Below are 24,730 nucleotides of genomic sequence, written 5' to 3'. Positions count from 1 at the left end.
GAGAGAGAGATGGCTCACGCCTGTAATCCCAGCACTTTGGGAGGCTGAGGCAGGCAGATCACAAGGTCAGGAGTCCAAGACCAGCCTGGCCAATATGGTGAAACCCCGTCTCTACTAAAAATACAAAAATTAGCCAGATGTGGTGGTGTGCGCCTGCAGTCCCAGCTACTTGTGAGGCTGAGGCAGAAGAATTGCTTGAACCCAGGAGGTGGAGGTTGCAGTGAGCCGAGATCGTGCCACTGCGCTCCAGCCTGGGTGACAGAGCAAGACTCCATCTCAAAAAATAATAATGATAATAATGATAAAAGAAGGACTCGGCCTATCATGTAACGGCCCCCAAAGCTGAGATCTGAATCTAAGCAGTCACTCAGTTGAGAGCTGCGGGGGTGTATGCGATGGTGGTGGGGGGAGTGATTATCCCTTTAAACAGCCACTGGGGGAGGGGGTTCTGGAACCCCTGGCCTCACAGAGACCCAGCCTCCCTCCCCCCGTCTCTCTGGGCTCTGTGTCTAAGGAGCCCTAGGGCACTGGGTGTGAGTCACTTAGGTGGGCCTGTGTGGAGGGGTGTCTGGGGAGGACATTGAACAGGCTGGGCTGAAAGGGCGTTCGGCTGTCGGGGGAGGTCTCTGGGAAGACAGGTTCCTCACAGCAAAGCCTGTGGTGAAGGTCTCAGAGGCCTCTCAGGGGAAGTCTCAAGGTCTCCAGTAAGGGGAACGAGGTCTGGAGGGAGGAGGTTGTGGATCCTCAGGCAGGGTTGTTGAGGGAGGGGGGTCTCCAGGTCCCCAGAAGCAGGGACCTCAGGCAGGAGTACCAGGGGAGGAGTGTGGAGGAAGCGGGCTCCTCAGCTGGGGGCCTCGGGGTAGGAAAGGCCTGGGCCCATCCTGCCCTTGTGGCCCCCGGCTGCAGCCTCAGTGGCATGGGGGTGAAGCGGAGCCTCCAGAGTGGGGGCATTCTGCTCAGCCTCGTGGCCAACGTCCTCATGGTGCTCTCCACGGCCACCAACTACTGGACCCGCCAACAAGAGGGCCACAGTGGCCTGTGGCAGGAATGCAACCACGGCATCTGCTCCAGCATCCCCTGCCAGAGTGAGGCTCCGCCCGCCCAGATGTCAGAGGGCATTTCAGACCCCCAGGGCTCGGGACACACAGCTGGGCCCATGGCGAGACGCCCACCCCTTCCACCCCGGGCTCAGTTGCAGCTGTCCCTTGTCGGCCGAGGCCGCCACGAACCCCGCCCCTCGACTTGTGGGCTTGTCCCCGACCCCCTCCCCGTCCTGGTAGCGGCAGTAACCGCAGGTCCTGATGTGACCTCCAAGTCTCAATCCAAACGCCTGACTCCCGGTCGGTGGAGCTCGGCTCCTGGCCACACACCGGGTTGGGGGCAGGAGACGGGAGAGCTTCCGGTTGCGGCCGAACCCGTAGTGACTGGGGCGGCGCCCGCGGGGGCTGATGCGCCCGCTCTCCCCAGCCACGCTGGCGGTGACTGTGGCGTGCATGGTGCTGGCGGTGGGTGTCGGCGTGGTGGGCATGGTGATGGGACTGCGGATTCGGTGCGACGAGGGCGAGTCGCTGCGGGGCCAGACCACGAGCGCCTTCCTCTTCCTCGGCGGTGAGACTGCAGACCGCCCCAGGCGGGCAGGCAGGGGCGGGCCCTGGGTGATGGAGGGGCCTGGTCGCCAGGGGAGGGGCTTGAGGTACTCGGCCAGGATCCGAGGGGCAGGGCTGGAAGAAGCCGAGAGAGGTGGGCGGGGCTCGAGACAGAGTTCAGAGCGGGAGGAGCAGGAAGGGGCCTGGGCCAGGGGCGGGCTGAGAGGCGATAGGCGTGGTCTGATAGAAGGGGGCGGGTCTGAAGGGGCGTGGCCTGGGTGCAGCCCCCACCAGGCCCAGCTAGCTCATCTTGCGGCTGGGCGGGGCCCAGGACTGCTGCTGCTGACCGCCTTGATAGGCTACACCGTGAAGAATGCGTGGAAGAACAACGTCTTCTTCTCTTGGTCCTATTTTTCTGGGTGGCTGGCCTTACCCTTCTCAATTCTCGCGGGTAAACTGGACAGCGGGAAGAGGGTGGAGGAGACTGCCCAGAAGACCCTCACCCCAGAGGCTCCCCAGCTGCCCTCCCAGGAAACCCCGGGGACCTCTCGGGGACTCCCCAACACACTAACGACTCCCGCAGACCCGGCAGAGACCCCCTTGGAGCCCCAAACCCCAGTCCCCGGGGCCCTCCCGGCCATCCGCCCCAGGGCCCACCTTCCTCTCCCTGCTCCGCACCCCCGTCCCCCCAGGCTTCTGCTTTCTGCTGGCAGACATGATCATGCAGAGCACCGACGCCATCAGTGGATTCCCCGTGTGTCTGTGACTGCAGCCTGCCTGGGGCAGAATAAAGGAACGGCTTTTTTTAGCGCTGCGGCTCCGCGTGCTTTTCTGCGGGTCGTGGGGACGCAGGCACGGGGTTGCATAGAGGCTCAGGGAAGACATAAGGACATGAACTCATAGGGAACGTGGAGACAGGGAGACACAGACATGGAGACACAAGTCTCCATGGATTGGGATGGGAACAGGGACATGTGGGAGGGGCGGGGCCAGGAGGGGACGTGGGCCTTTGGAGAGGGTGTGGAGAGGCTGTGGGGACGACATGGAGGTGAAGTAGAGACACGGACAGGGGAGGATACGGATATGGAAGGGACAGGGAACACGGGGATGGAGAGAGTGGAGAGACCGACGCGCGAGGATTCAGAGGCGTGGGAATACGAGTACCGCGACTTGGAGAGGCCGGGAAGAAGTGGGGGATCTGGAGAGGGAGAGCAGATCCGGGGATACCGGGAAGTGTTTATAGGACCGGGAGGATCTATAAACTCCGGGCGCGCTTCCCTCCAGTGCACGACCTTTCCCCTAGTTCTCTGCCCTGCCCTCTCCGCCAGGCCTTTCCTTCTCTCTCCAGGTCCCGCTCGCTCCCCGAGATCCGCTTCCCATTGGTTTGCATTGCTTGCCACACCTCCCTTCCTTCCGGCCTCTCGATTGGTCCTCTGTCGGGGAGGCGGGCTCTGCAGCGGTTGACTGGCTGACCGTGCTGCGCGCAGGCGCAGAGAGGGGCGCGGGGGGCGGGGGTGGTGGGGCTTCTGGACTGAGCCGCTGAGGGTGCGGGCTGACCCTGTAAGTGGCTGCGGCGGGAAGATGGCGGAGCTGCGCGTGCTCGTAGCTGTCAAGAGGGTCATCGACTACGCCGTGAAGGTGATCGGGCCCCCCTCTCCCACATCCCTGAGTCCCGCAGCCGTGTGCTTCCGGGGCCACGAGCGCACACTGGGTGGGGGTCTTCTCGTAACCCCCGACCTCTGCCGCTTTAACCCCCAAACGTCAAAGTCACCTGAGGGCAAAAATCCAAGAGTGAAGTTCTAACATCCGATCCCTCCGGGGTCACGGCCATGTTCTCTTTTCCCTCGTTCTGGATTCACTCTCTTGATAACTGTTCAGAGTGAGTTGCTTTCTCTATTTCTTACCCACTGGAAGAAGTCACGGTCCCTGTTTAATGCACGGAGAAACTGAGGCACAGAGAGGTCACCCAGCTAGAGAAGGGCAGAGCCGAGAGTTCTATCCAGGTTCCTCTGACTGCTTTCACCCACTAGGCTGCATTACTTACCATTGTACTCTTATATTACCCGAAATGTGCTATAGAGGGAGTCAGACAGGGTCCTGTGGGGCCCCAGAAGCTGCTTTCCACCCTCCATAGCCACAGGGTGAGCCAGGAGGCTCTAGCTAGGGAGAGAGAAGTGTGTTTGCTAGAGATGAAAGTTCAAGGAGCCAACCTGACTGAGCTGGGGGTAGCTCACATTCTCCATGAAAGAGGTGGGGGAGGGTGCTCTCAGCGCCTGGCTTGTTGTCCCCAGAGGGAAGCTGGTGTGGACAGAGGTGAATCAGACACGGTCTCTCAGGCCCGTTTCTCTCAATGCTTGGCCTGAACTGGACTGAAGATGGTGACTGTCTGTCCATGTCTGTCCTTCCCATCAGCCTGGGGACTTACCTCCGTGTCCCCAGCATTACCTAGCGCAGGGCCTGGCACCCTGGAGGCCTCAGGGTGGGCAAAACCAGGGTCACAAAGTTGACACTGATACTGCCCCTGCCTGCTTAGGGAGTGGGCTGGGGAAGAGGGTACAGGAGCCAGACTTGAGCATGAAAGTGTCAGTGATGATAGCAGCCAGCATTTAGCGGGTACTTACGTGGCAGGCATCGTTCCAAGTCCTTTGCAGAGATTAACCCATTCAGTCCTTTCAGTACCCTTTGTATTATTTATTATTTATTTTTATTTTTTGAGACGGAGTTTTGCTCTTTTTGCCCAGGCTGGAGTGCAATGGCGCAGTCTTGGCTCACTGCAACCTCAGCCTCCCGAGTTCAAGCAATTCTCCTACCTCAGCCTCCCAGGTAGCTGGGATTACAGGCATGTGCCACCACACCTGGCTAATTTTTTGTATTTTTAGTAGAGATGGGGTTTCACCATGTTGGTCAGGCTGGTCTCAAACTCCAGACCTCAGGTGATCCACCCGCCTGCCTCGGCCCCCCAAAGTGCTGGGATTACAGGTGTGAGCCACCGTGCCTGGCCGACCCTTTGTATTATTAATTCCATTGGATAGATGAGGAAACTGAGGCCTGTCAGATCTCCCAGCCAGTAAGTGGCAGAGTTACGATCGAAACCCCGGGCAAGTCTGGCTCTAGACTCTGCTCTCCCATCTCCCTCAATGCCCCCTGTCCTAATGATGCCTCTGGCAGCACATGACAGGGATGTCACCTGTAGCCCTTTTGAGACACATTCCTCTTGGGGTCCTGGGACCCAACACTTGGTTTCCTCCCTGCTCTGACTGTTCGTTACTGTCACATCTTTGGAGTCCTACAGCTCCCTGGGCCTCTTCTCTCCATCCCAGCCCTGGCCTTCCACGCCTGGCATGTCTGGGATTGGATCCGTCTCCCCCATGGTGCAGGCCCACGTTTGACTCAGCTCTGGTCCCAGCATCACTCAGCACAGAGCCTGGCACATGGATGTCTCTGGTGTGCTCAGGGAGAGAACAGAGGGGAAGCGTGAAGGCCGCGTTGAATCAGCTACTGTCCTTTCCAGAGGGTGCTGCCTTCCCCTCCCGCAGTGCCCCAGGGCTCCCTGCATTACATCCTGTCTCACTGGATGTGTCTGTTGATGTCCTTTTCAGAACAAATAAATGATTCAGACCCTGCCAGCTTCCTAAACACCAGATTAGACCTGGGTACTGTCCCACCCTCTTTCCCTTCTCCCAAAGCTGTCAGTTCTCCACCCCCCACCCTTCTTGCCCTATTGTCTCTTGGTGTCATTGTCTCACCTGGACCCTCACCCGGGTCCTCCCTCACTCCCAGTCTCTCCCTCTCAGCCCACCTCTACCCAGCCTTAGGGGCCTTTCTGCACCCAGAGCTCACCCTGCTCTCCCCTGCTCCCAGCCTGCCTGTGGCTCCCCAGCACCCTCAGGACAGAGTCGCAGCCCCTCTGCCTGGCATTTGGGATGCTTTGTGGTCCAGCCTCCTCTTCATGGTCTGCTTCAGCCGTCCACTTCCCTCCTTGGACCCTCCCTTACCCTTTGTGCTTCTGCCACTGTGACCTGCTCCTCCTGTCCTGACAGACCAGGCCGCGGCTTGCCCGTTCCATGCCTTCTTCCAGCACCACCCTCCTACCTCTGCTTTCTGTCCTTTGTCCTGCCCAACTCCAACTCATGGATTATATCAAAATCTAGTGATTCTCGGCCAGGCGCGGTGGCTCACACCTCTAATCCCTGCACTTTGTGAGGCTGAGGCGAGTGGATCAGTTGAGGTCAGGAGTTTGAGACCAGCCAGGCCAACATGGTGAAACCCCATCTCTCCTAAAAATAAAAAAATTAGCCAGGCATGGTGGCACGTATCTGTAGTCCCAGCTACTCGGGAGGCTGAGGCAGGAGAATCGCTTGAACCTGGGAGGCAGAGGTTGCAGTGAGCCAGGATTGTGTCCCTGTACTCCAGCCTGGGTGACAGAGCTAGACTCAGTCTCAAAATAATAATAATAATAATTTAGTGATTCTCCCTGGCATCGCCTCCTCCAGGAAGCCCCTGACCCTACACCCTCAGGTTGCCTTGGTATATCCCTGGGGGCTTCTGCAGTCCCTAGATTTGCTTCCATCAGCCCTCGCCAGACTGGATTGGGATCCTCTGTTTACCCCATGTTCCCCACTGCCCTACTCCATCATCCCCAGGCTGGTAGCTCCCTGCAGAGAGGGGCCATGTCTGATCCACCTCTGTTCCCAGAATCACGTGCTCACTCCCTGACCTCTTTCACCTCCTTTTCAAACATCACCTTCTCTGGGAGGACTTCCCTGCTTGCCTCCTTAAAATCACAGGCCCCAGGTCCCTGTGTTTTGCTGTGTTTTCCCCTATACTTAGCAACTAGAAAGGGAGAGGAAAGTATGTTTGCTAGAGATGAAAGTTCAAGGAGCCAACCTAACTGAGTGGAGGGAGTGACTCACATTCTCCATGAAGGAGGTGGGAGCAGGGGCACCCTCTGAGAGCCCAGCTTGTCCCCAGAGGGAAGCTGGTGTGGACACTTTGTAATCCACAGTGTTGTTTACTTATTGATTGCTCTGGTGTCTGTCGCCCCTTCTGGAATTTGAGCTCCAGGTGTGGGGGAGACAGTTTGATGTGGTCACTGCTTCCTGAGACAGTGGGTTCACTACTAGAATAGTGCAGACCTCAGACTCCAAGCCCAGCGCCTGCGTCCACTTCCTGCTGTGTGACCTTGAGGAAATTGCTTCACCACTCTAAGCCTCATTTTTCTACTCTGTACAATGGGGATGATGGTACTATCTACTTTATTGAGTTGTAATGAAAATTAAATAAGCCCTTGGAACAGTGCCTGGCACACAGTGGTTTGTTTTGTTTTATTTTTTGAGACGGAGTCTATCTCTGTTGCCCAGGCTGGAGTGCAGTGGCATGATCTCAGCTCACTGGAACCTCCACTTCCCAGGTTCAAGCAACTCTGCCTCAGCCTCCTGAGTAGCTGGGATTACACGTGTGAGCCACCACGCCTGGCTAATTTTTGTATTTTTAGTAGAAACGAGGTTTTGCTATGTTAGCCAGGCTGGTCTAGACCTCCTGACCTCAGGTAATCCACCCGCCTCAGCCTCCCAACGTGCTGGGATTACAGGTGTGAGCCACTGTGACCAGCTGCAATAAGTGTTTTTATTGGGAGTAGTAGTAATGGATGTTTAGTTAGTCATTTATTCAAAACATAACAAATGCTGTGCTCAGAGTGTATTCGTGTGTGTGTGTGTGTGTGTGTGTGTGTGTGTGTGTGTGTGTATGTGTGTCCGGCTGTGTGTATGTTTCTGGGTATGTGCGTGTATCTAACATTTTAATAGGTATTTGGCAACTCAGTAACACCCTGTCCTGTTCAGGGGCACATTTTACAGGAAGCTGATGAAGCTTAACCTTCAGGGCCTCTTTCAAGACCCCAGGAGAAAGGCTGGGCCTGGTGGCTCACGCCTGTAAACACACACTTTGGGAGGCTGAGGTGGGTGGATCACGAGGTCAGGAGTTCAAGACCATCCTAGCCAACAGAGTGAAACTCTGTCTCTACTAAAAATACAAAAATTAGCTGGGCATGGCGGCGCGTGCCCGTAGTCCCAGCTACTCGGGGGGCTGAGGCAGAAGAATCGCTTGAACCAGGGAGGCGGAGGTTGCAGTGAACCGAGATCGTGCCACTGCACTCCAGCCTGGGTGACAGAGGGAGACTCCGTCTCACAAAAAAAAAAAAAAAAAAAAAAACCCAGGAGAGGCTGGGCAATTTTGTATTCATTATCTGGGATTCATTTTCTTAGAGATGACCCCACAGGATAGAAACTCCAGGCCCAGAAAACGTGTTTCCATCTCGGGGCCCAACCCCGACCAGCCACACCCTCTCGTCTGGGAGCGCCTGGTGTTTCTTCAGGTTTTCCTCTTTGGGCTCCACGCACTTGCCCCTCCTGCTCTCAGCAAGGCCACCTTGTCTGACAGGGCACACGTGGGGCTCACATGTCACCTCAGGGACGAGTTCTCTGTCTGCCCCCCGCCGAGTTAGTGATCTGTCACTGGGGTGGCTCCCTGGCCTTGGCTGTCCTGCTTGCTGAGTGCCCTAGCACGTGCCCAGGGACTCGCTTGACAGAAAAGCCTAGAGGACAGAACCACACAAGTCCTTGAGCTGTGTCAGGGGTTCAGGAAGAGCTGTCGAAAATCACTTTATAAAATCCCTCTTGGGCCGGGCGTGGTGGCTCACACCTGTAATTCCAGCATTTTGGGAGGCCGAGGTGGGCGGATCACCTGAGGTCAGGAGTTCGAGACCAGCCTGGCCAACATGACGAAACCCCATCTCTACTAAAAATAAAAAAATTAGCCAGGCGTGGGCCGGGCGCGGTGGCCCACACGTGTAATCTCAGCACTTTGGGAGGCTGAGGCGGGTGGATCACAAGGTTAGGAGATTGAGACCATCCTGGCTAACACGGTGAGACCTTGTCTCTACTAAAAATACAAAAAATTAGCCAGGCGTGGTGGCAGGCGCCTGTAGTCCCAGCTACTGGGGAGGCTGAGGCAGGAGAATCGCTTGAACCCAGAAGGTGGAGTTTGCAGTGAGCCAAGATCATACTACTGCACCCCAGCCTGGGCAACAGAACAAGACTCTGTATCAAAAAGAAAGAGAAAGAGAGAGAGAGAGAGAGAGAGAAAGAGAGAAAGAAAAGAGAAGAGAAGAAAATCCCTCTTGCCTGCAGTGGACAACAAATAGGAAGACTGGCTCTCCTAACACCGTGGGCACACGTAGCCTCTTTCAGAGTCTCACAGTTCCCAAGACAGATTTGGGGTTAGACCCGTGGTCCTGCCACTTCCATGCTCAGTGGCCCTGGCCAAGGTACTTGGCCTCTCTGTGCCTCAGTTGCCTCATCTGTAAAATGAGAGGTAATGGCAGTAACCAACCTCACAGGCTACTAGGATGGTCAAACGAGTTAATGCATATAAAACCCTTGACTCGTTGTCTGCATGGGTCAGTGCTGCTTTTAAAAAAATTTTTTTTTTCTTTTCTTTTTTTTTTTTTGAGATAGAATCTGGTCTGTCACCCAGGCTGGAGTGCATTGATGTGATCCCTGCTCACTGCAACCTCCACCTCCCGGGTTCAAGTGATTCTCCTCCCTCAGCCTCCCAACTAGCTGGAATTACAGGCATGTGCTAAAACGCTCGACTAATTTTTGTATTTTTAGTAGAGATGGGGTTTTACCATGTTGGCCAGGCTGGTCTCGAACTCCTGACCACAAGTGATCCACCCACCTCAGCCCCACAAAGTGCTGGGATTACAGGTGTGAGCCGCCACGCCCAGCTTTGAGGCTGTTTTTGATATTGGTGGATATGTCGTCTCTTTAAGAGAAAGCCAGCACTTAATGCTGAATGATTTACCTCAATTATAAAACTTTTTTTTTTTCTTTTTGAGACAAGGTCTAGCTCTGTCACCCAGGCTAGAGTGGTACAGTCACAGCTCGCTGCAGCCTCGACCCTCCTGGGTTCAAGCCGTCCTCCCACCTCAGCCTCCTCAGTAGCTGGGACTACAGGTGCACGCCACCATGACCTGCTAATTTTGTTTTTTGGTAGAGATGAAGTCTCTCTATGTTGCCCAGGCTGGTCTTGAAATCCTGGGCTCCAGTGATCCTCCTTCCTCAGTCTCCTAAGGTGCTGGGATTACAGGCATGAGCCATCATTATTTAAAAAACAAACAAGCTATCATTTTTCAGCCCTACCATTGTTTCCTGACTTATGTAATATAACTAAACTGTTTTTGAAGCTTAAAATCAACTCAAGCTTAATTGAGAAGATGAGCTAGTTTGTTTCCTCAGGTGTGTGTGCGTGCGTGTGTGTGTGTGTGTCTGGAAAGTTCTTACCCTTTCTCCTCAGGAGTCAGGAGCCTGGGAATCAGGAGCTTAGGGCTGGGAGTTCTGCCAGAGCAAGAGCAAGATGTGGCTTGAGGCCCTTCAGAAGCCTCCCTGACTCACAGCAAGAAGCTTGGGGCCTCTTACTGATGGGTGGATGAGGTTCTTTTCTGTCTTAAAGGGGCAACTCCTATGTTGTGTTTTTTTTTTTAAGAAAAAAGGCCAGGCACTGCGACTCACACCTGTAATCCCATCACTTTGGTAGGCTGAAGCAGGCGGATCACTTTAGGCCAGGAGTTCCAGACCAGCCTGGGAAACACGGGGAAATCCTTTCTCTACAAAAAGTAAAAAAAAAAAAATTAGCCCGGCATGATGGTGCCCGCCTGTGGTCCCAGCTACTGGGGAGGCTGAAGTGGGAGGATCACCTGAGCCCGGGAGGTGGAGGTTGCAGTAAGGCAAGGTGGCACCTCTGCACTCCAGCCTGGGCAACGAGAGAGATGAAAATAACAGTTCTTTCTCTTTCCTCTCCTCTTCCAGCTCCTTCTCCTCTTTCTCCTTTTTCTTTTTCTTTTTCTTTTTTGAGATGAGGTCTTGCTCTGTCACCCAGGTTACATGTAGTGGCATGATCACGGCTCACTGCACCCTTGACCTCCTGGGCTCAGGTGATCCTCCCGCCTCAGCCTCCTGAGTAGCTGGGACTACAGGTGTGTGCCACCATACCTGGCTGTTTTTTTTTTTTTTTTTTTGTTGTTGTTTGTTTGTTTGTTTTGAGGCGGAGTCTTGCTCTGTCGCCCAGGCTGGAGTGCCGTGGCGCAATCTTGGCTCATTACAACCTCCACCTCCTGGGTTCAAGCAATTCTCCCTGCCCCAGCCTCTGAGTAGCTGCAATTACAGGCGTGCACTACCATGCCCGGCTAATTTTTTATTTTATTTTTATTTTTAGTAGAGATGGGGTTTTGCCATGTTGGCCAGGCTGGTCTTGAACTCTTGACCTCAGGTGATCCGCCCACCTTGGCCTCCCAAAGTGCTGGGATTACAGGCATGAGCCACCACGCCCAGCTGTTTTTGTTTTTGTTGTTGTTGTTTGTAGAACCTGTTGCCCAGGCTAGTATCCAACTCCTGGGCACAAGTGATCCTCCCACCTTGGCCTCCCAAATTTCTGGGATTACAGACAGGAGCCACTGCGCCCGGTCTCAGTCCTCCATCTTTTAATGTTACCCTCTCCATGAGGCACAGCCAGAGTGGGAAGCCCCTTATGGGTCCCACCTTCTCATCTCGGATTCTGTCCTGCCTGTGGGAGGAACAGTTACACCCACAGCCCCAGAGAAAAAGGGGCAGGGAAATAGCAAGAGCATCCCAGTGTCCTCACCAGGCTCAGCTGCCACCCGAGATCTGCTCTGGCCAAGCCCTGGGTGGCGGCCACATGGGAGAAGAGGAAGAGGGCAGGCTCCAGGCCAAATGGGGCAGCTCCCTAGCAAGGCTTCTGTGGATGTCCCTGGAGGCTTTTTAAAAATTTGTGCCCCAAACCAAACTCGCCGTCTTCCCGGCTCTGGCTGATGTACTGACTGGAAGCCCCTTTTTGGTGTCATCTTCCCATCACGAACCATGGCCTGTCAGTTGCACCTCCAGAAACCTCTTGCATCTGTCTCTGCTGTCACAGCTGTCTGAGCCACTGTCACCTCTCACTTTGGTGACAAACAGCCACCCAGCTCTCTCCCCACTTCCTCTCATCCTTTTCCAATTTTCTCCACCAAGAATCCAGAATGACCTTATAAAAACTCAGGTTGGGCCAGGAGCGGTGGCTCACGCCTGTAATCCCCTGCCTTTGAGAGGCCGAGGTGGGTGGATCACCAGAGATCGGGAGTTCGAGACCAGCCTGGCCAACATAGTGAAACCCTGTCTCTATTAAAAATACAAAAAATTAGCTGGGCGTGGTGGTGGGCACCTGTAATCACAGCTACTCAGGAGGCTGAGGCAGGAGAATCGCTTGAACTGGGGAGGCAGAGGTTGCAATGAGCTGAGATCATGCCACTGCTCTCCATCCTGGACAACAGAGCAAGACTCCATCTCAAAAAAAAAAAAAAAAAGAAAGAAAGAAAAAAAGGATTGTGGTGGGCCAAGAAATAAAATAGCCCTCCAAAACAGCCAGGTTTCAATCCCTGGCACCTGAGAAGGGGAAATCACTTAGAAACAGGGTCTTTGCAGGCTGGCCATGTTGGCTTATGCCTGTAATCCCAGCACTTTGGGAGGCCGAGGAGAGCAGATCACCTGAGGTCAGGAGTTCAAGACCAGCCTGGCCAACATGGTGAAACCCTGTCTCTACTAAAAATACAAAAATTAGCCAGGCGTGGTGATGCATGCCTGTAATCCCAGCTACTTGGGAGGCTGAGGCAGGCAAATTGCTTGAACCCGGGAGGCAGAGGTTGCAGTGAGCCGAGATTTCACCACTGTACTCCAGCCTGGGCGACAGAGCGAGAGCCCATCTAAAAAAAAAAAAAAAAGAAATTAGAAACAGGGTCTTTGCAGATGTGATTAAATTAAGCATCTTGAGATGGGGGCATTATCCTGGATTATTTAGGTGGGCCCTGAATGCCATCTCAAGAGTCCTTATAAGAGAGAGACAGAGGGAGACTAGACACGCAGAGAGAGGAGAAGGCCACGTGAAGACAGAGCTGAGGATGCTGGCATTGAAGATAAAGCGATGCAGCCACAAGCCAGGGAGTGTCAGCAGAAGCTGGAGGAGGCAAGAAACGTGTTCCTCCCGGGGCCTGCAGACCCCTTGGTCTCACCCTGGTGACACTGACTTTGGACTTCTGGCCTCCAGAGCTGTAAGATTCTAAGCCACCAAATATATGGTGATTTGTTACGGCAGCCGAGAGAAACTAATAGGAGAGTGGTTAGTGGTTCACGCTACACCCTGGTCTACACCGGAAGCCTCTCTCCCTGGCACATGATGGTGTCCCCAGGATCCAGCTCAGAGCCAGGCACACAGTGGGGCCCAGGAGAGACAAAAATGATGTGCAGAAGCAAATGGGTGGGGTTTGCCACCCACCTCCCTTACCTCCCTTGTCTGTTTAGCAAAGAGGTCTTTCATGCTGGTGTTTTCCAAATTAGGTTGTGACCATGTGTGATCATGACATCCAGGCAGAGGGCTGGCATTTTTCCGAAAAAGGGTAGAAAATGTCAGAGTATGGTGTGTGTGTAGGCAGGGTCAGTATTGGTCACTGACCCTTACACTGCAGTGGCATTTGTGAAATAGGTCAGGGTCACTGGTCACGTTGTCTAAGGTGTTATCCGAGCTCGTTTCACAACCAAGAGAATTAAAGAGCATAGACCACCCAAAAGGTGAGGTTGGAGCGAAAGTTTAATAAGCAAAAGAAGAAAGCTCTCCACAGAGGAGAGGGAAGCCCAAGCGGGTTGCCATTTTTACAGTTGATTCCAAAAGCTTTTTTTTTAAAAAATTATTTATTTATTTATTTTTTATTATTATACTTTAAGTTTTAGGATACATGTGCACAACGTACAGGTTTGTTACATGTGTTTATATGTGCCATGTTGGTGTGCTGCACCCAGTAACTCGTCCTTTAGCATTAGGTATATCTCCTAATGCTATCCCTCCCCCCTCCCCCCACCCCACGACAGTCCCCGGTGTGTGATGTTCCCCTTCCTGTGTCCATGTGTTCTCATTGTTCAATTCCCACCTATGAGTGAGAACATGCGTTGTTTGGTTTTCTGTCCTTGCGATAGTTTGCTGAGAATGATGGTTTCCAGCTTCATCCATGTCCCTACAAAGGACATGAACTCATCATTGTTTATGGCTGCATAGTATTCCATGGTGTATATGTGCCACATTTTCTTAATCCAGTCTATCATTGTTGGACATTTGGGTTGGTTCCAAGTCTTTACTATTGTGAATAGTGCCGCAATAAACATATGTGTGCATGTGTCTTTATAGCAGCATGATTTATAATCCTTTGGGTATATACCCAGTAATAGGATGGCTGGGTCAAATGGTATTTCTAGTTCTAGATCCCTGAGGAATCACCACACCGACTTCCACAATGGTTGAACTAGTTTACAGTCCCACCAACAGTGTAAAAGTGTTCCTTTTTCTCCACATCCTCTCCAGCACCTGTTCTTTCCTGACTTTTTAATGATCGCCGTTCTAACTGGTGTGAGACGGTATCTCATTGTGATTTTGATTTGCATTTCTCTGATGGCCAGTGATGATGAGCATTTTTCATGTGTTTTTTGGCTGCATAAATGTCTTCTTTTGAGAAGTGTCTATTCATATCCTTCGCCCACTTTTTGATGGGGTTGTTTGTTTTTTTCTTGTACATTTGTTTGAGTTCATTGTAGATTCTGGATATTAGCCATTTGTCAGATGAGTAGGCTGCAAAAATTTTCTCCCATTCTGTAGGTTGCCTGTTCACTCTGATGGTTAAACTAAAGAGCTTCTGCACAGCAAAAGACACCAAAAGCTTTTATAAGAAACTCCTTTCATCTCTGTAGCTGTTTGAGTATCTTATCTGTAAAGCTATCTGCATAACTCTCCGTTATCTATGTAGTTGTGGGTACGTCTTTAGGCAAGCACAAAGCTCCGCTTCTCTTGTTTCTGTAACCGTGGGTTTGTTTTAGGTAAGCTCCGCCCCTCCCCGTGCAAGTTCCCACAGAGACCACCATGTACGTGCCTGAAAAGGGGAGGGAACTTTTCCTGGGAGCCTGTCAGTCACGCAAAGAACAAAAGGCTTCTGTGCTGGGCAGCTTGAGTTTTCCCCAGGCTGCTCTATTGTTGCCTGTAGCTGTGATTTTTCAGGCAGGCTGCTCCTCTGAGGACCACCCTTAACTGTCTACCTAACTGGTTTTTCCTTTTCTTCTCCTCATTTGTATTTATGTATCAGTGTATTATGTATTTATATACACTTGGAGATACAGTAAAATGTACCTCTCACTGTGGGTTACCATAAATACTGTAAATTTGAGAAACACTCTTTCAGGCCTGAGAGGAGCAGTGACAACAGTAGGGATGATCAAGTCAGATGTCCCTGGTACCCAGGAATGGCTGGATGAGAGAAGGAGACAGGGTGACCTGCCCCTGCCTACAAACTCTAACCCAGTTCTGTCCCTGGAGCTGTGTGACCCCGGACAAGGCCCTGCCCCTTTCCAGGCTGTCGTTGTCCTCATCCAGCCTGGGAGAGGGTTGGCGCTGAGGCCCCCACCTTCTTGCCTGTTTCCTCCTGACCCCACCCCTTCCCCTCCTGCTGGGCAGATCCGAGTGAAGCCTGACAGGACCGGTGTGGTCACGGATGGTGTGAAGCACTCCATGAACCCCTTCTGTGAGATCGCGGTGGAGGAGGCTGTGCGGCTCAAGGAGAAGAAGCTGGTGAAGGAGGTCATCGCCGTCAGCTGTGGGCCTGCACAGTGCCAGGTGATGAAGGTCTTGGGGAGGGGGCTGGACTCCTGGGTCTGACGGAGGAGGGGCTGGGACCTGGACTCCTGGGTCTGAGGGAGGAGGAGGCTGGAAGTCTGGACCCCTGGGTCTGAGGGAGGATGGGCTGATAGCCTGGATTCCTGGGTCTGAGGAAGAAGGGGATGGGGGCCTGGACTCCTGGGTCTGAGGAAGGAGGGGCTGGGGGCCTGGACTCTTGGGTCTGAGGAAGGAGGGGATGGGGCCCTGGACTCCTGGGTCTGAGGAAGAAGGGGATGGGGGCCTGGATTCCTGGGTCTGAGGAAGGAGGGGATGGGGCCCTGGACTCCTGGGTCTGAGGAAGGAGGGGCTGGGACCTGGACTCCTGGGTCTGAGGGAGGAGGAGGCTGGAAGTCTGGACCCCTGGGTCTGAGGGAGGATGGGCTGATAGCCTGGATTCCTGGGTCTGAGGAAGGAGGGGATGGGGGCCTGGACTCCTGGGTCTGAAGAAGGAGGGGATGGGGGCCCGGACTCCTGGGTCTGAGGAAGGAGGGGATGGGGGCCCGGACTCCTGGGTCTGAGGAAGGAGGGGATGGGGGCCCGGACTCCTGGGTCTGAGGAAGGAGGGGATGGGGGCCCGGACTCCTGGGTCTGAGGAAGGAGGGGATGGGGGCCCGGACTCCTGGGTCTGAGGAAGGAGGGGATGGGGGCCCGGACTCCTGGGTCTGAGGAAGGAGGGGATGGGGGCCTGGACTCCTGGGTCTGAGGAAGGAGGGGATGGGGCCCTGGACTCCTGGGTCTGAGGAAGGAGGGGCTGCGAGCCAGACTCCTAGGTCCCCCTGAGGATAGCAGCCAAGTCAAGCCCCTCTGTCCTTGGCAGGAGACGATTCGTACCGCCCTGGCCATGGGTGCAGACCGAGGTATCCACGTGGAGGTGCCCCCAGCAGAAGCAGAACGCTTGGGTCCCCTGCAGGTGGCTCGGGTCCTGGCCAAGCTGGCAGAGAAGGAGAAGGTGGACCTGGTGCTGCTGGGCAAACAGGTAGCTGTGGTCAGCCCTCCCTGTGCCCCCTTGCTCATCCCTGCTCGGGAGGAGGGTGGTGGAGATACGGGGTGAGACAGCAGCTGGCCAGGCCCAGGGCATTCACCACTCCAGGCTGAGCAGCTTGGGACTTTGCTGACCCTTCTGACAGAGAGTTTGAGCAGGGAGGACAGAGTCCCTCTGGGTGTTAGAAAGATCCTCTTGGGCCAGGCACGGTGGTTTACGCCTGTAATCTCAGCACTTTGGGAGGCCGAGGCCAGTGGATCACTTGAGGTCGAGAGTTTGAGATTAGCGTGGCCAACATGGTGAAACCCCATCTCTTCTAAAAATATAAAAATTAGCCGGGTGTGGTATCACCTGCCTGTAATCCCAGCTACTTGGGAGGCTGAGGCATGAGAATCACTGGAACCTGGGAGGCGGAGGTTGCAGTGATACAAGATCGCACCACTGCACTCCAGGCACCACTGCACTCCTGCCTGGGAGCAGAGCGAGACTCTGTCTCAAAAAGAAAAAAAGAAGAAAGATCCTTTTGGGTGAGTTTAGAGGCTGGGAGGCCGAGGTGATGGTCACATGGGGGAGAATGAGGCCTCAGCCAAAGGTGACAGGACAGAGCAGAGACATGATGTGGCAGGAGAGACTGGGCTTAGCATGGGGAGGGAGGGCAGGGAGGAGGCAAGGACAGTGCCTGGGTCTGCCTTGGTAACACAGGTAGGAAACCCAGGAAGAACAGGAGGTTAGAGGAGGATCCTACAAGGGGAGTGTGAAGAGCCCAGGAGACATCGATGCAGGTTCAGGAGACAGGCCTGGGCTTGAAACAAAGACTTGAGAATTTTGGAGGGCACTGGGGAGCTATGGGAGTTCTATGAGCAGAAGAGGGGTGGGATCAGCACTAGGTGCAGAAAGAGCCCCCCTGGGCTTTGAGAATGGACTGGAATGGGAAATTGGAGGCCAGGAGTTAGGGAAGGAGGTTAGGGCTGGGTGAGGACCCGACCAGAACCTTCCCTGCCACACTGGTGCTCCCCACTGAGATAGGGGTACATGGAGCTCATCTGTTCCCCCAGGAGACCCTCGGGCACCACCTCTGCTCAGGGGTAGCTCATCTCATTTGAGGGCAAACCTCATGGCCTCAACCAGGGAAGGGGCAGAAGAGGGACGTCAGAAGAGCCACAGGCAGATGGGAGTGAGAAGAGGCAGGGAATTAGGGATGAGGCTGAGAAGGAAGGCCAAAGACTGCAAGGTATGTCAAGCAGAGCACGGAGACAGCAGAGCACAGCAGGCTCAGGTAGAGCTGGGGCCCCCGGAGAGAGATGGGGATCCCAGGGCCAGGTCAGTTCTGGGACAAAGAGGAGGCTGATGGGTCCAGGTAGGTCACTGGGTGTCCTGCCCAGCCCTGAGAAAGTCAGAAGAAAACAGAGAGAGATTATCAACAGCAGGGGCATCAGAGTACAGATCAGTCAACTGTGGCCGAAGGGCCTACCCGGAGAACAGGCCAAAAAGGCAGGGCCTGGGTGGGGCTGCAGAGGCCGAGGTGCTGGAAGCATGGCCTTTGCAGCCCCCTGCATTTGCTGGTCGTTCTCAGACTCCGATGTCCTACCTGTCCTGGGCCAGGGACAGTTCCTGGGGCCAGGGCCTCCAGCTGGGGAAATGCCGGATGAACTGGTCAGGATGCTGTTTGTTCTAGGAAGCAGATTCACAACTCAAACTGGCTTAAGCCAGAAAGCGAATTTATTATCTCACGTAAATCAGGGGCTTCAGGCACAGCTTGATCCAGGGTCACATATGAGCTGTAGGCTCCCCTCTACCTTGTCTTCACTGTCTGCATCTCCAGGCTCAGATCCCACCAGCCCAGTGACCCCAGCAGAAAGAAAGGAGCATCTTTCCCAAGGGCCCCAGCAAACTCCCAGGGCTGACTCTTCTTTGGTGCAGCTTGAGTCATGTGCCCCTCCCTGAACCAATCACTGGGCTGGGGCTAGAATGTCCTTGCTGGCCCAGACCCTGTTCATGCAGCTGCCCAGGGGCCACATAGGGTGGGACTCCTGAGAGGCTTTATACAGAGGGCAGAGACTTGACGACAGGGATGCCAGGTGGCCCCACATGTCCCTGGACAAGTGGCTGCTTATCTCTGGGCCCAAGTGAGGGGATCGTTCTAGACCAAAAGTCAGTGAACTATGGCCCAGAGCGACCTCTGATTTGTAAATAAAGCTTTATTGGAACATCACCACATACATTCATTTACATATTATTTATGGCTGCCTGTGTGCTACAACAGCAGCGCTGAGTCACCGTGACAGAGACCGTATGACCTGCAGAGCCTGAGATATTTACTACATCTGTTCCACCATAGAAAAGGTTTGCCAACCCGACTGGCTGCGGTGACTCATGCCTGTAATCCCAGAGCTTTGGGGGATCATCTGAGGTCAGCAGTTCAAGACCAGCCTGGCCAACATGTTGAAACCCTGTCTCTACTGAAAATACAAAAATTAGCTGGGCGTGGTGTTGGGTGCCTGTAATCCCAGCTACTCAGGAGGCTGAGGCAGGAGAATTGCTTGAACCCAAGAGGCGGAGGTTGCAGTGAGCCAAGATTGTACCATTGCACTCCAGCCTGGGTGACAGAGCAAGACTCCGTCTCAAAAAGAAAAAAAAGAAAGAAAAAGTTTGCCAACCCCTGTTCTAGACAGAGGCCTGAATGGTCCATGAGCTCCACTGATTGTCATACAGTCTTCTGTCTCTCCCCATTCAGGCCATCGATGATGACTGTAACCAGACAGGGCAGATGACAGCTGGATTTCTTGACTGGCCACAGGTGAGACTGGAGTGGGGAGCACCTGCTGAGGGCCAGGCCCTCATCCCTCAAACTTCATTTCTGCCTCAAGGCCTTTGCATTTGCTGTTCTCTCCTCCTGGAACACTGTTCCCTCGGATTGCCTCATGGCTTTCTTGTTCCCCTCCTTGAGGTCTCTGCTGAGGTATCACCTCTTCAAAGGGGCCTTCCTTGCCATCCTACGTGAAATACTCATGCCCACCCGCTCAACTCTAGGTTCCCCAGTCCCCATCTCTGCCAGTCCAATAGAAATGCAGGCTGGGGCCAGGCATGGTGAGTCATGCCTGTAATCCCAGCACTTTGGGAGGCCGAGGCAGGTGGATTACTTGAGGTCAGGAGGAGTTTGAGACCAGCCTGGTCAACATGTTGAAACCTCGTCTCCACTAAAAATTTAAAAATTAGCTGGGTGTGGTGGCGTGCGCCTGTAGTCTCAGCTACTCAGGGGGCTGAGGGAGAATTGCTTGAACTTGGGAGGCGGAGGTTACAGTGAGGCAAGATCGCACGCCACTGCACTCCAGCCTGGCAACAGAGGGAGGCTCCGTCTCAAAAAAAGAAAAAAGAAATGCAGGCTTGGCACAGTGGCTCACACCTGTAGTCCTAGCACTTTGGGAGGCCACGGTGGGAGGATTACTTGAGCCCAGGAGTTCGAGACCAGCCTTGGCAACATAGTTAGACCCCATCTCTACCAAAAAAGAAAAGTTAGCTGGGTGTGATGGCACATGCCTGTAGTACCAGCCTCAGGAGGCTGAGGTGGGAGGATCCCTTGAGTTCAGGAGGTCAAGACTGCAGTGAGCTGTGATCATACCACTGTACTCCAGCCTAGGTGAAAGAGGGAAACCCTGTCTCAAAAGAAAAAAAAAAAAAGAAGCAAGGCACATAGACAAATTTAAAATTTTTCACAGCTACATAAAAAAGTAAAAAGAAACAGACAAAATTATATTTTATTTCACCCCATTATATCTAAAATATTATTTTAACATGTAATCAACATAAAAATATTAAGATACATATGCTCTACAAGCAATGGGGTTACGTCCTGATAAATCCATCATAAATTGAAAATATTATAACTGAGAGAATGCATTTAATATTCTTAATCTACCAAATATCATAGCTGAGCCCAGCCTACCTTAAACATGTCACAACACTTAACGTTAGCCTACAGTGGGGTAAAATAATCTAACATAAAGCACATTTTATAATAAAGTGCTAAATATCCCATGTAATTTATCAAATACTGTACTGGAACTAAAAAAACGGAATGGTTGTACGGACACTGGCAGTATGGTTTCTACTGAATGTTTATCACTGTCACATCATCGGAAAACTGAAAAATCTTAATTCAAACCATCATAAGTCAGGGACCATCTGTATTTTACGTTTTTTGGATTTTCTTTGTACTAAATCTTCAAAATTCAGCATGTATTTTATATTTACAGCACATCTCAATTCAGGTGCTAAATTTCTATGAGAAACACATTCCTAAAGATGACAGTTGAAATAGATTTACACACCCAAGTTGTTCAAAACAAACTTAAAAGTTTTCTAGTAACTGCATTTCCAGTAACTGCATTGGGTATCTGTGTTTTTTTGTTTGTTTGTTTGTTTGTTTTTGTTTTTTTTTTAAACAGCTTCGTTGAGTTATTTACCTACAATAAACCGCACATATCTAAGTTGCACAATTTGTTAAGTTTGCTTTTCTTAAACTCTTTTATTTAGATAGAGATGGGGGTCTCACTATGTTGCCCAAGCTGGTCTTTAACTCCTGGGCTCAAGCAAGCTGCTCACCTCAGCCCTCCAAAATTTAAGTTTTGATATGTGTTACATCCATGAAATCATCACCACAATCATGATAATGTGTCTTGAATTCTCAGTATTTATTTATTTTTATTTTTTTGAGGTGGAGTCTTGTTCTGTCCCCAGACTGGAGTGCAGTGGCGCGATCTTGGCTCACTGCAGCCTCCGCCTCCCGAATTTAAGCGATTCTCCTGCCTCAGCCTCCCGAGTAGATCGGATTACAAGCGTGCATCACCATACCTGGATAATTTTTGTATTTTTAGTAGAGACAGGGTTTCGCCATGTTGGCCAGGCTGGTCTTGAACTCCTGACCTCAAGTGATCCACCCGCCTTGGCCCCTCAAAGTGCTGGGATTACAGGCATGAACCACTGCGCCTGGCCAAATTATCAGTATTTAAATTTAAATAAAATGTAAAAATTCATTCCTCAGCTGCACTGGCTGGACAGCCACACGCAGCCAGTGGCTACTGGATGGGACAACACATTCAAAACCATTATCCTGTTTTATCTTCAAAGCATTTACCACTGTCTGACTAGCTTCTCCAACGTGCGCCCTTCTTGCTCTCATATCATGTGTCTTATTTTCTTCTTATTCCTTCTGATTGGAAATGATCTCATTTGTGTGTGTGTGTTTTTCCCTGGTGACTGGTTGTCTTCCCTGGCAGAATATGAGCCCACCCAAGCTGGTGCTTCACTGGTCGTGTTCACAGTGTGTCTCCAGGGGCAGGTTCATAAGGGCACTAGGAGGAGGTTGTGAATGAAGGGAGGTGATGTTCACACTAAGACCTGAAAAATGTGTCCAGTTAATAAGTGGACAGGGACAAAGGTCGTTAGACAAAGAGGAGTGTAGGTGGCATCAGTTACCAGGGGAGGAAATGTTGATTCAGGACTGAGAGGCAAAGGGACCTGGCTAGAGGACGGGGTCCCAGAAGGTGGTTTAAGGACTGGTGTGGACACACACAGTTCTGTTGTCTGCCCAGCGGAGGGGCCTCACGGGGGGCCGTTGGGAGCCAGATTGTCAGCTTTTGGATTTACCAGCTGTGGGTGGCAGTGGGCGTGTAACTCAGCATCTTGCTGCCTCAGTTTCTCTCATCTGTAAAGTGGGGATAATAACATTTACCTCATAAAGTTCCTGCGAGGATTCGATGACTTGATACATCAGTTGCTTAGCACAGGGCTCAGCACTCAGTACATGTTCCCTGTCAGGAAGGCAGGGAGGCCTCACTGGCAGCATCAGGACATGGGACATCAGGACATACACCGTGGCTCTCAGGGAAAGGAAAAAGACCCTCTCCCAGGTGTACAAGCTCGATTCTAAACCTCATGGGACCCTGCATTGTTCGCTCCCTCATTCATTCACTAGTCCATGCGTGTACTCAGTAGTGGCATAAGCAGACTGCTCGGGTCGGACCTGAATTAGCCTCACCCACTCTCCTCCTACACTGTCCCTCCCCAGGGCACATTCGCCTCCCAGGTGACGCTGGAGGGGGACAAGTTGAAAGTGGAGCGGGAGATCGATGGGGGCCTGGAGACCCTGCGCCTGAAGCTGCCAGCTGTGGTGACAGCTGACCTGAGGCTCAACGAGCCCCGCTACGCCACGCTGCCCAACATCATGGTGAGCCCCTGGCCAGCGGGCACTGAGGGCCTGGGGGTGGCAAGCACATTGCCAGCCCAGTGCCCCCCGGTGGTCGCACGTGGGGAGGGAAGGATCCAAAGGAGGTCTCGTGCACAGGAAGCCGTCACCTGGAGTTTGGCTGATAGAGAGAGTTTGCTGGGTCATCTCTGCCAATACTGAGAGTTCATGGGGGCTGCTTTGGCTAGCAGGGAGGGCTTGCTGGTATCTAGGCCAGTAGAAAGCCTTCGCTGGGCAGCAGAAGGTGTTCCCTTTGTCATTCCAGCCAGTGGAACAAGTTCACTGGGTCATCTAGGTTCATTAGGGAGGGTCCCCTTGGTAATTTTTGCCAATGTGAAGTTACCATGTAGATCATCTTAGTTAACTAGGAAGGGTGCATGGGGTCTCTTGGCTAACAGGTAGAGTTCACTAATCATCATGGCCAGTAGATGGGTTCGCTGGGTCATCTTGGCCAATATTAACAGTTTAGTGGGTCATCTCCGCCAATAGAGAATATTCATCTCAGCCAACAGGGAGGGTTCACTGGATCATCTCAACTAATGGGGAGGGTTCAATGAGTCATTTCAGCCATTACAGAGTGTTCACTACATCATCTCAGCCTATAGGGAGGGTTCAGCGCATCATCTCAGCCTATAGGGAGGGTTCAGCGCATCATCTCAACCTATAGGGAGGGTTCTGCGCATCATCTCAGTCTATAGGGAGGGTTCAGCACATCATCTCAGTCTATAGGGAGGGTTCAGCGCATCATCTCAACCTATAGGGAGGGTTCTGCGCATCATCTCAGCCTATAGGGAGGGTTCAGCGCATCATCTCAGTCTATAGGCAGGGTTCAGCGCATCATCTCAGCCTATAGGGAGGGTTCAGCGCATCATCTCAGCCTATAGGGAGGGTTCAGCGCATCATCTCAGCCTATAGGGAGGGTTCTGCGCATCATCTCAGTCTATAGGGAGGGTTCAGCGCATCATCTCAGCCTATAGGGAGGGTTCAGCGCATCATCTCAGCCTATAGGGAGGGTTCAGCGCATCATCTCAGCCTATAGGGAGGGTTCAGCGCATCATCTCAGCCTATAGGGAGGGTTCAGCGCATCATCTCAGCCTATAGGGAGGGTTCAGCGCATCATCTCAGTCTATAGGGAGGGTTCAGTGCATCATCTCAGCCTATTGGGAGCCTTCAGCATGCCATCTCAACCAAAAGTCCACTGAGTCATTACTACCAAAAGGATGGGTTTGCCACTCTGTTGCAGCCAGTGAAGGGCTTCCTGATTTGGTTACCTAAAGGAGGACTGCTGCAGTAGTTGGGCCTCCCAGGGCCTCCTAGCCAGCAGGAGTTGTCCACACCAGGTGTGGCCCTGTGAGAAGTTTCGCGTGTCCTGGCCAGTGGGTGGGTCCAGAGGGTTCAGCCCATGGGACTGGTCTGCAGGCCTGGCACCCATGGGAAGGAGGTGGCAGGAAGGGTGGCAGGAGTTCCACAGCCCTGTGAACAATGGCTTCCCATGTGCAGAAAGCCAAGAAGAAGAAGATCGAGGTGATCAAGCCTGGGGACCTGGGTGTGGACCTGACCTCCAAGCTCTCTGTGATCAGTGTGGAGGACCCGCCCCAGCGCACGGCCGGCGTCAAGGTGGAGACCACTGAGGACCTGGTGGCCAAGCTGAAGGAGATTGGGCGGATTTGAGCCCCTCCCAGAGATGGCAATAAAACTGACTCTCAACATCTATCTCTGTTAACTTATTTCCTAGAGACCCATTATTTGGTTCATTCAACATTTACTTGAGTCTTTTGTGTGCCAGGCCCTGTGGATCCAGTCCCTGCCCATGAGGAGCCTCTGTATTGATGCGGGGGACAATGAGGACAAAGGCAGCTGTAATTCGGGGTGAAGTATGCTAGACGTGGAGGCACACTGGGCCCTTGGGAACCCAACTGGGGGACCTGGCCTGGCCCAGCCGGTGGGGTCAGAGATTTCCCAGGGAGATGACTTCCAAGTTGAGTGTTGGAACACAAATATCAGTGAGGTGGGTGAGAAGAAGGGCTTTTATCCACGATGTTTGCAGGACACTCATTCTCTCTTGTGTCCCCAGTCTCAGCAGGGACACAGGAGAGAATGAGGCCAGAAGCTGTGGTT

At 52.9% G+C, this 24,730-nt stretch overlaps 2 protein-coding genes across 9 annotated transcripts, besides 6 other annotated features; both read left to right on the top strand.

Annotated features, from left to right (window-relative positions):
* On the top strand, positions 491 to 2,755 carry CLDND2 (claudin domain containing 2). Of its 6 annotated transcripts, none has more exons than XM_047438140.1 (5): positions 491 to 533; positions 907 to 1,085; positions 1,468 to 1,608; positions 1,918 to 2,037; positions 2,279 to 2,396. In XM_047438140.1, the coding sequence occupies exons 2-5, from the start codon at positions 917 to 919 to the stop codon at positions 2,350 to 2,352; spliced, it is 504 nt and encodes a 167-aa protein (XP_047294096.1). In that variant the 5' UTR covers positions 491 to 533; positions 907 to 916; the 3' UTR covers positions 2,353 to 2,396. The 6 variants fall into 6 exon arrangements, with proteins under 6 accessions (XP_047294096.1, XP_047294095.1, XP_047294094.1 ...); XM_047438139.1 differs by having other exon boundaries at positions 491 to 546; XM_047438138.1 differs by having other exon boundaries at positions 1,918 to 2,755.
* Positions 622 to 1,581: an enhancer, noted in NCBI's record as "H3K27ac-H3K4me1 hESC enhancer chr19:51871167-51872126 (GRCh37/hg19 assembly coordinates)". NCBI's record gives its function as "activates a minimal SCP1, AML or CMV promoter by ChIP-STARR-seq in naive H9 embryonic stem cells {active_cell/tissue: H9 hESC(naive)}" and the evidence as "EXISTENCE:reporter gene assay evidence [ECO:0000049][PMID:30033119]".
* Positions 921 to 970: an enhancer, noted in NCBI's record as "active region_15014". NCBI's record gives its function as "activates an Ori minimal core promoter by ATAC-STARR-seq in GM12878 lymphoblastoid cells {active_cell/tissue: GM12878}" and the evidence as "EXISTENCE:reporter gene assay evidence [ECO:0000049][PMID:35858748]".
* Positions 1,381 to 1,480: an enhancer, noted in NCBI's record as "active region_15013". NCBI's record gives its function as "activates an Ori minimal core promoter by ATAC-STARR-seq in GM12878 lymphoblastoid cells {active_cell/tissue: GM12878}" and the evidence as "EXISTENCE:reporter gene assay evidence [ECO:0000049][PMID:35858748]".
* Positions 1,661 to 1,990: a silencer, noted in NCBI's record as "silent region_10986". NCBI's record gives its function as "represses an Ori minimal core promoter by ATAC-STARR-seq in GM12878 lymphoblastoid cells {active_cell/tissue: GM12878}" and the evidence as "EXISTENCE:reporter gene assay evidence [ECO:0000049][PMID:35858748]".
* Positions 2,261 to 2,310: a silencer, noted in NCBI's record as "silent region_10985". NCBI's record gives its function as "represses an Ori minimal core promoter by ATAC-STARR-seq in GM12878 lymphoblastoid cells {active_cell/tissue: GM12878}" and the evidence as "EXISTENCE:reporter gene assay evidence [ECO:0000049][PMID:35858748]".
* Positions 2,540 to 3,499: an enhancer, noted in NCBI's record as "H3K27ac-H3K4me1 hESC enhancer chr19:51869249-51870208 (GRCh37/hg19 assembly coordinates)". NCBI's record gives its function as "activates a minimal SCP1, AML or CMV promoter by ChIP-STARR-seq in naive H9 embryonic stem cells {active_cell/tissue: H9 hESC(naive)}" and the evidence as "EXISTENCE:reporter gene assay evidence [ECO:0000049][PMID:30033119]".
* On the top strand, positions 3,106 to 24,339 carry ETFB (electron transfer flavoprotein subunit beta). 3 transcript variants are annotated; one of them, NM_001985.3, is made up of 6 exons: positions 3,106 to 3,224; positions 15,186 to 15,344; positions 16,204 to 16,362; positions 19,103 to 19,165; positions 22,436 to 22,594; positions 24,113 to 24,325. In NM_001985.3, exons 1-6 carry the CDS (start codon positions 3,168 to 3,170, stop codon positions 24,281 to 24,283), a joined length of 768 nt encoding a protein of 255 aa, NP_001976.1. In that variant the 5' UTR covers positions 3,106 to 3,167; the 3' UTR covers positions 24,284 to 24,325. The 3 variants fall into 3 exon arrangements, with proteins under 3 accessions (NP_001976.1, XP_024307186.1, NP_001014763.1); XM_024451418.2 differs by lacking the exon at positions 3,106 to 3,224 and adding an exon at positions 3,365 to 3,465; NM_001014763.1 differs by lacking the exon at positions 3,106 to 3,224 and having other exon boundaries at positions 14,652 to 15,344; positions 24,113 to 24,339.

This window comes from Homo sapiens, chromosome 19 (assembly GCF_000001405.40).
Source record: "Homo sapiens chromosome 19, GRCh38.p14 Primary Assembly".
Taxonomy (NCBI): domain Eukaryota; kingdom Metazoa; phylum Chordata; class Mammalia; order Primates; family Hominidae; genus Homo; species Homo sapiens.
The sequence above is the reverse complement of the archived record's forward strand: the minus strand, read 5'-3'. Positions and strand labels throughout refer to the sequence as shown.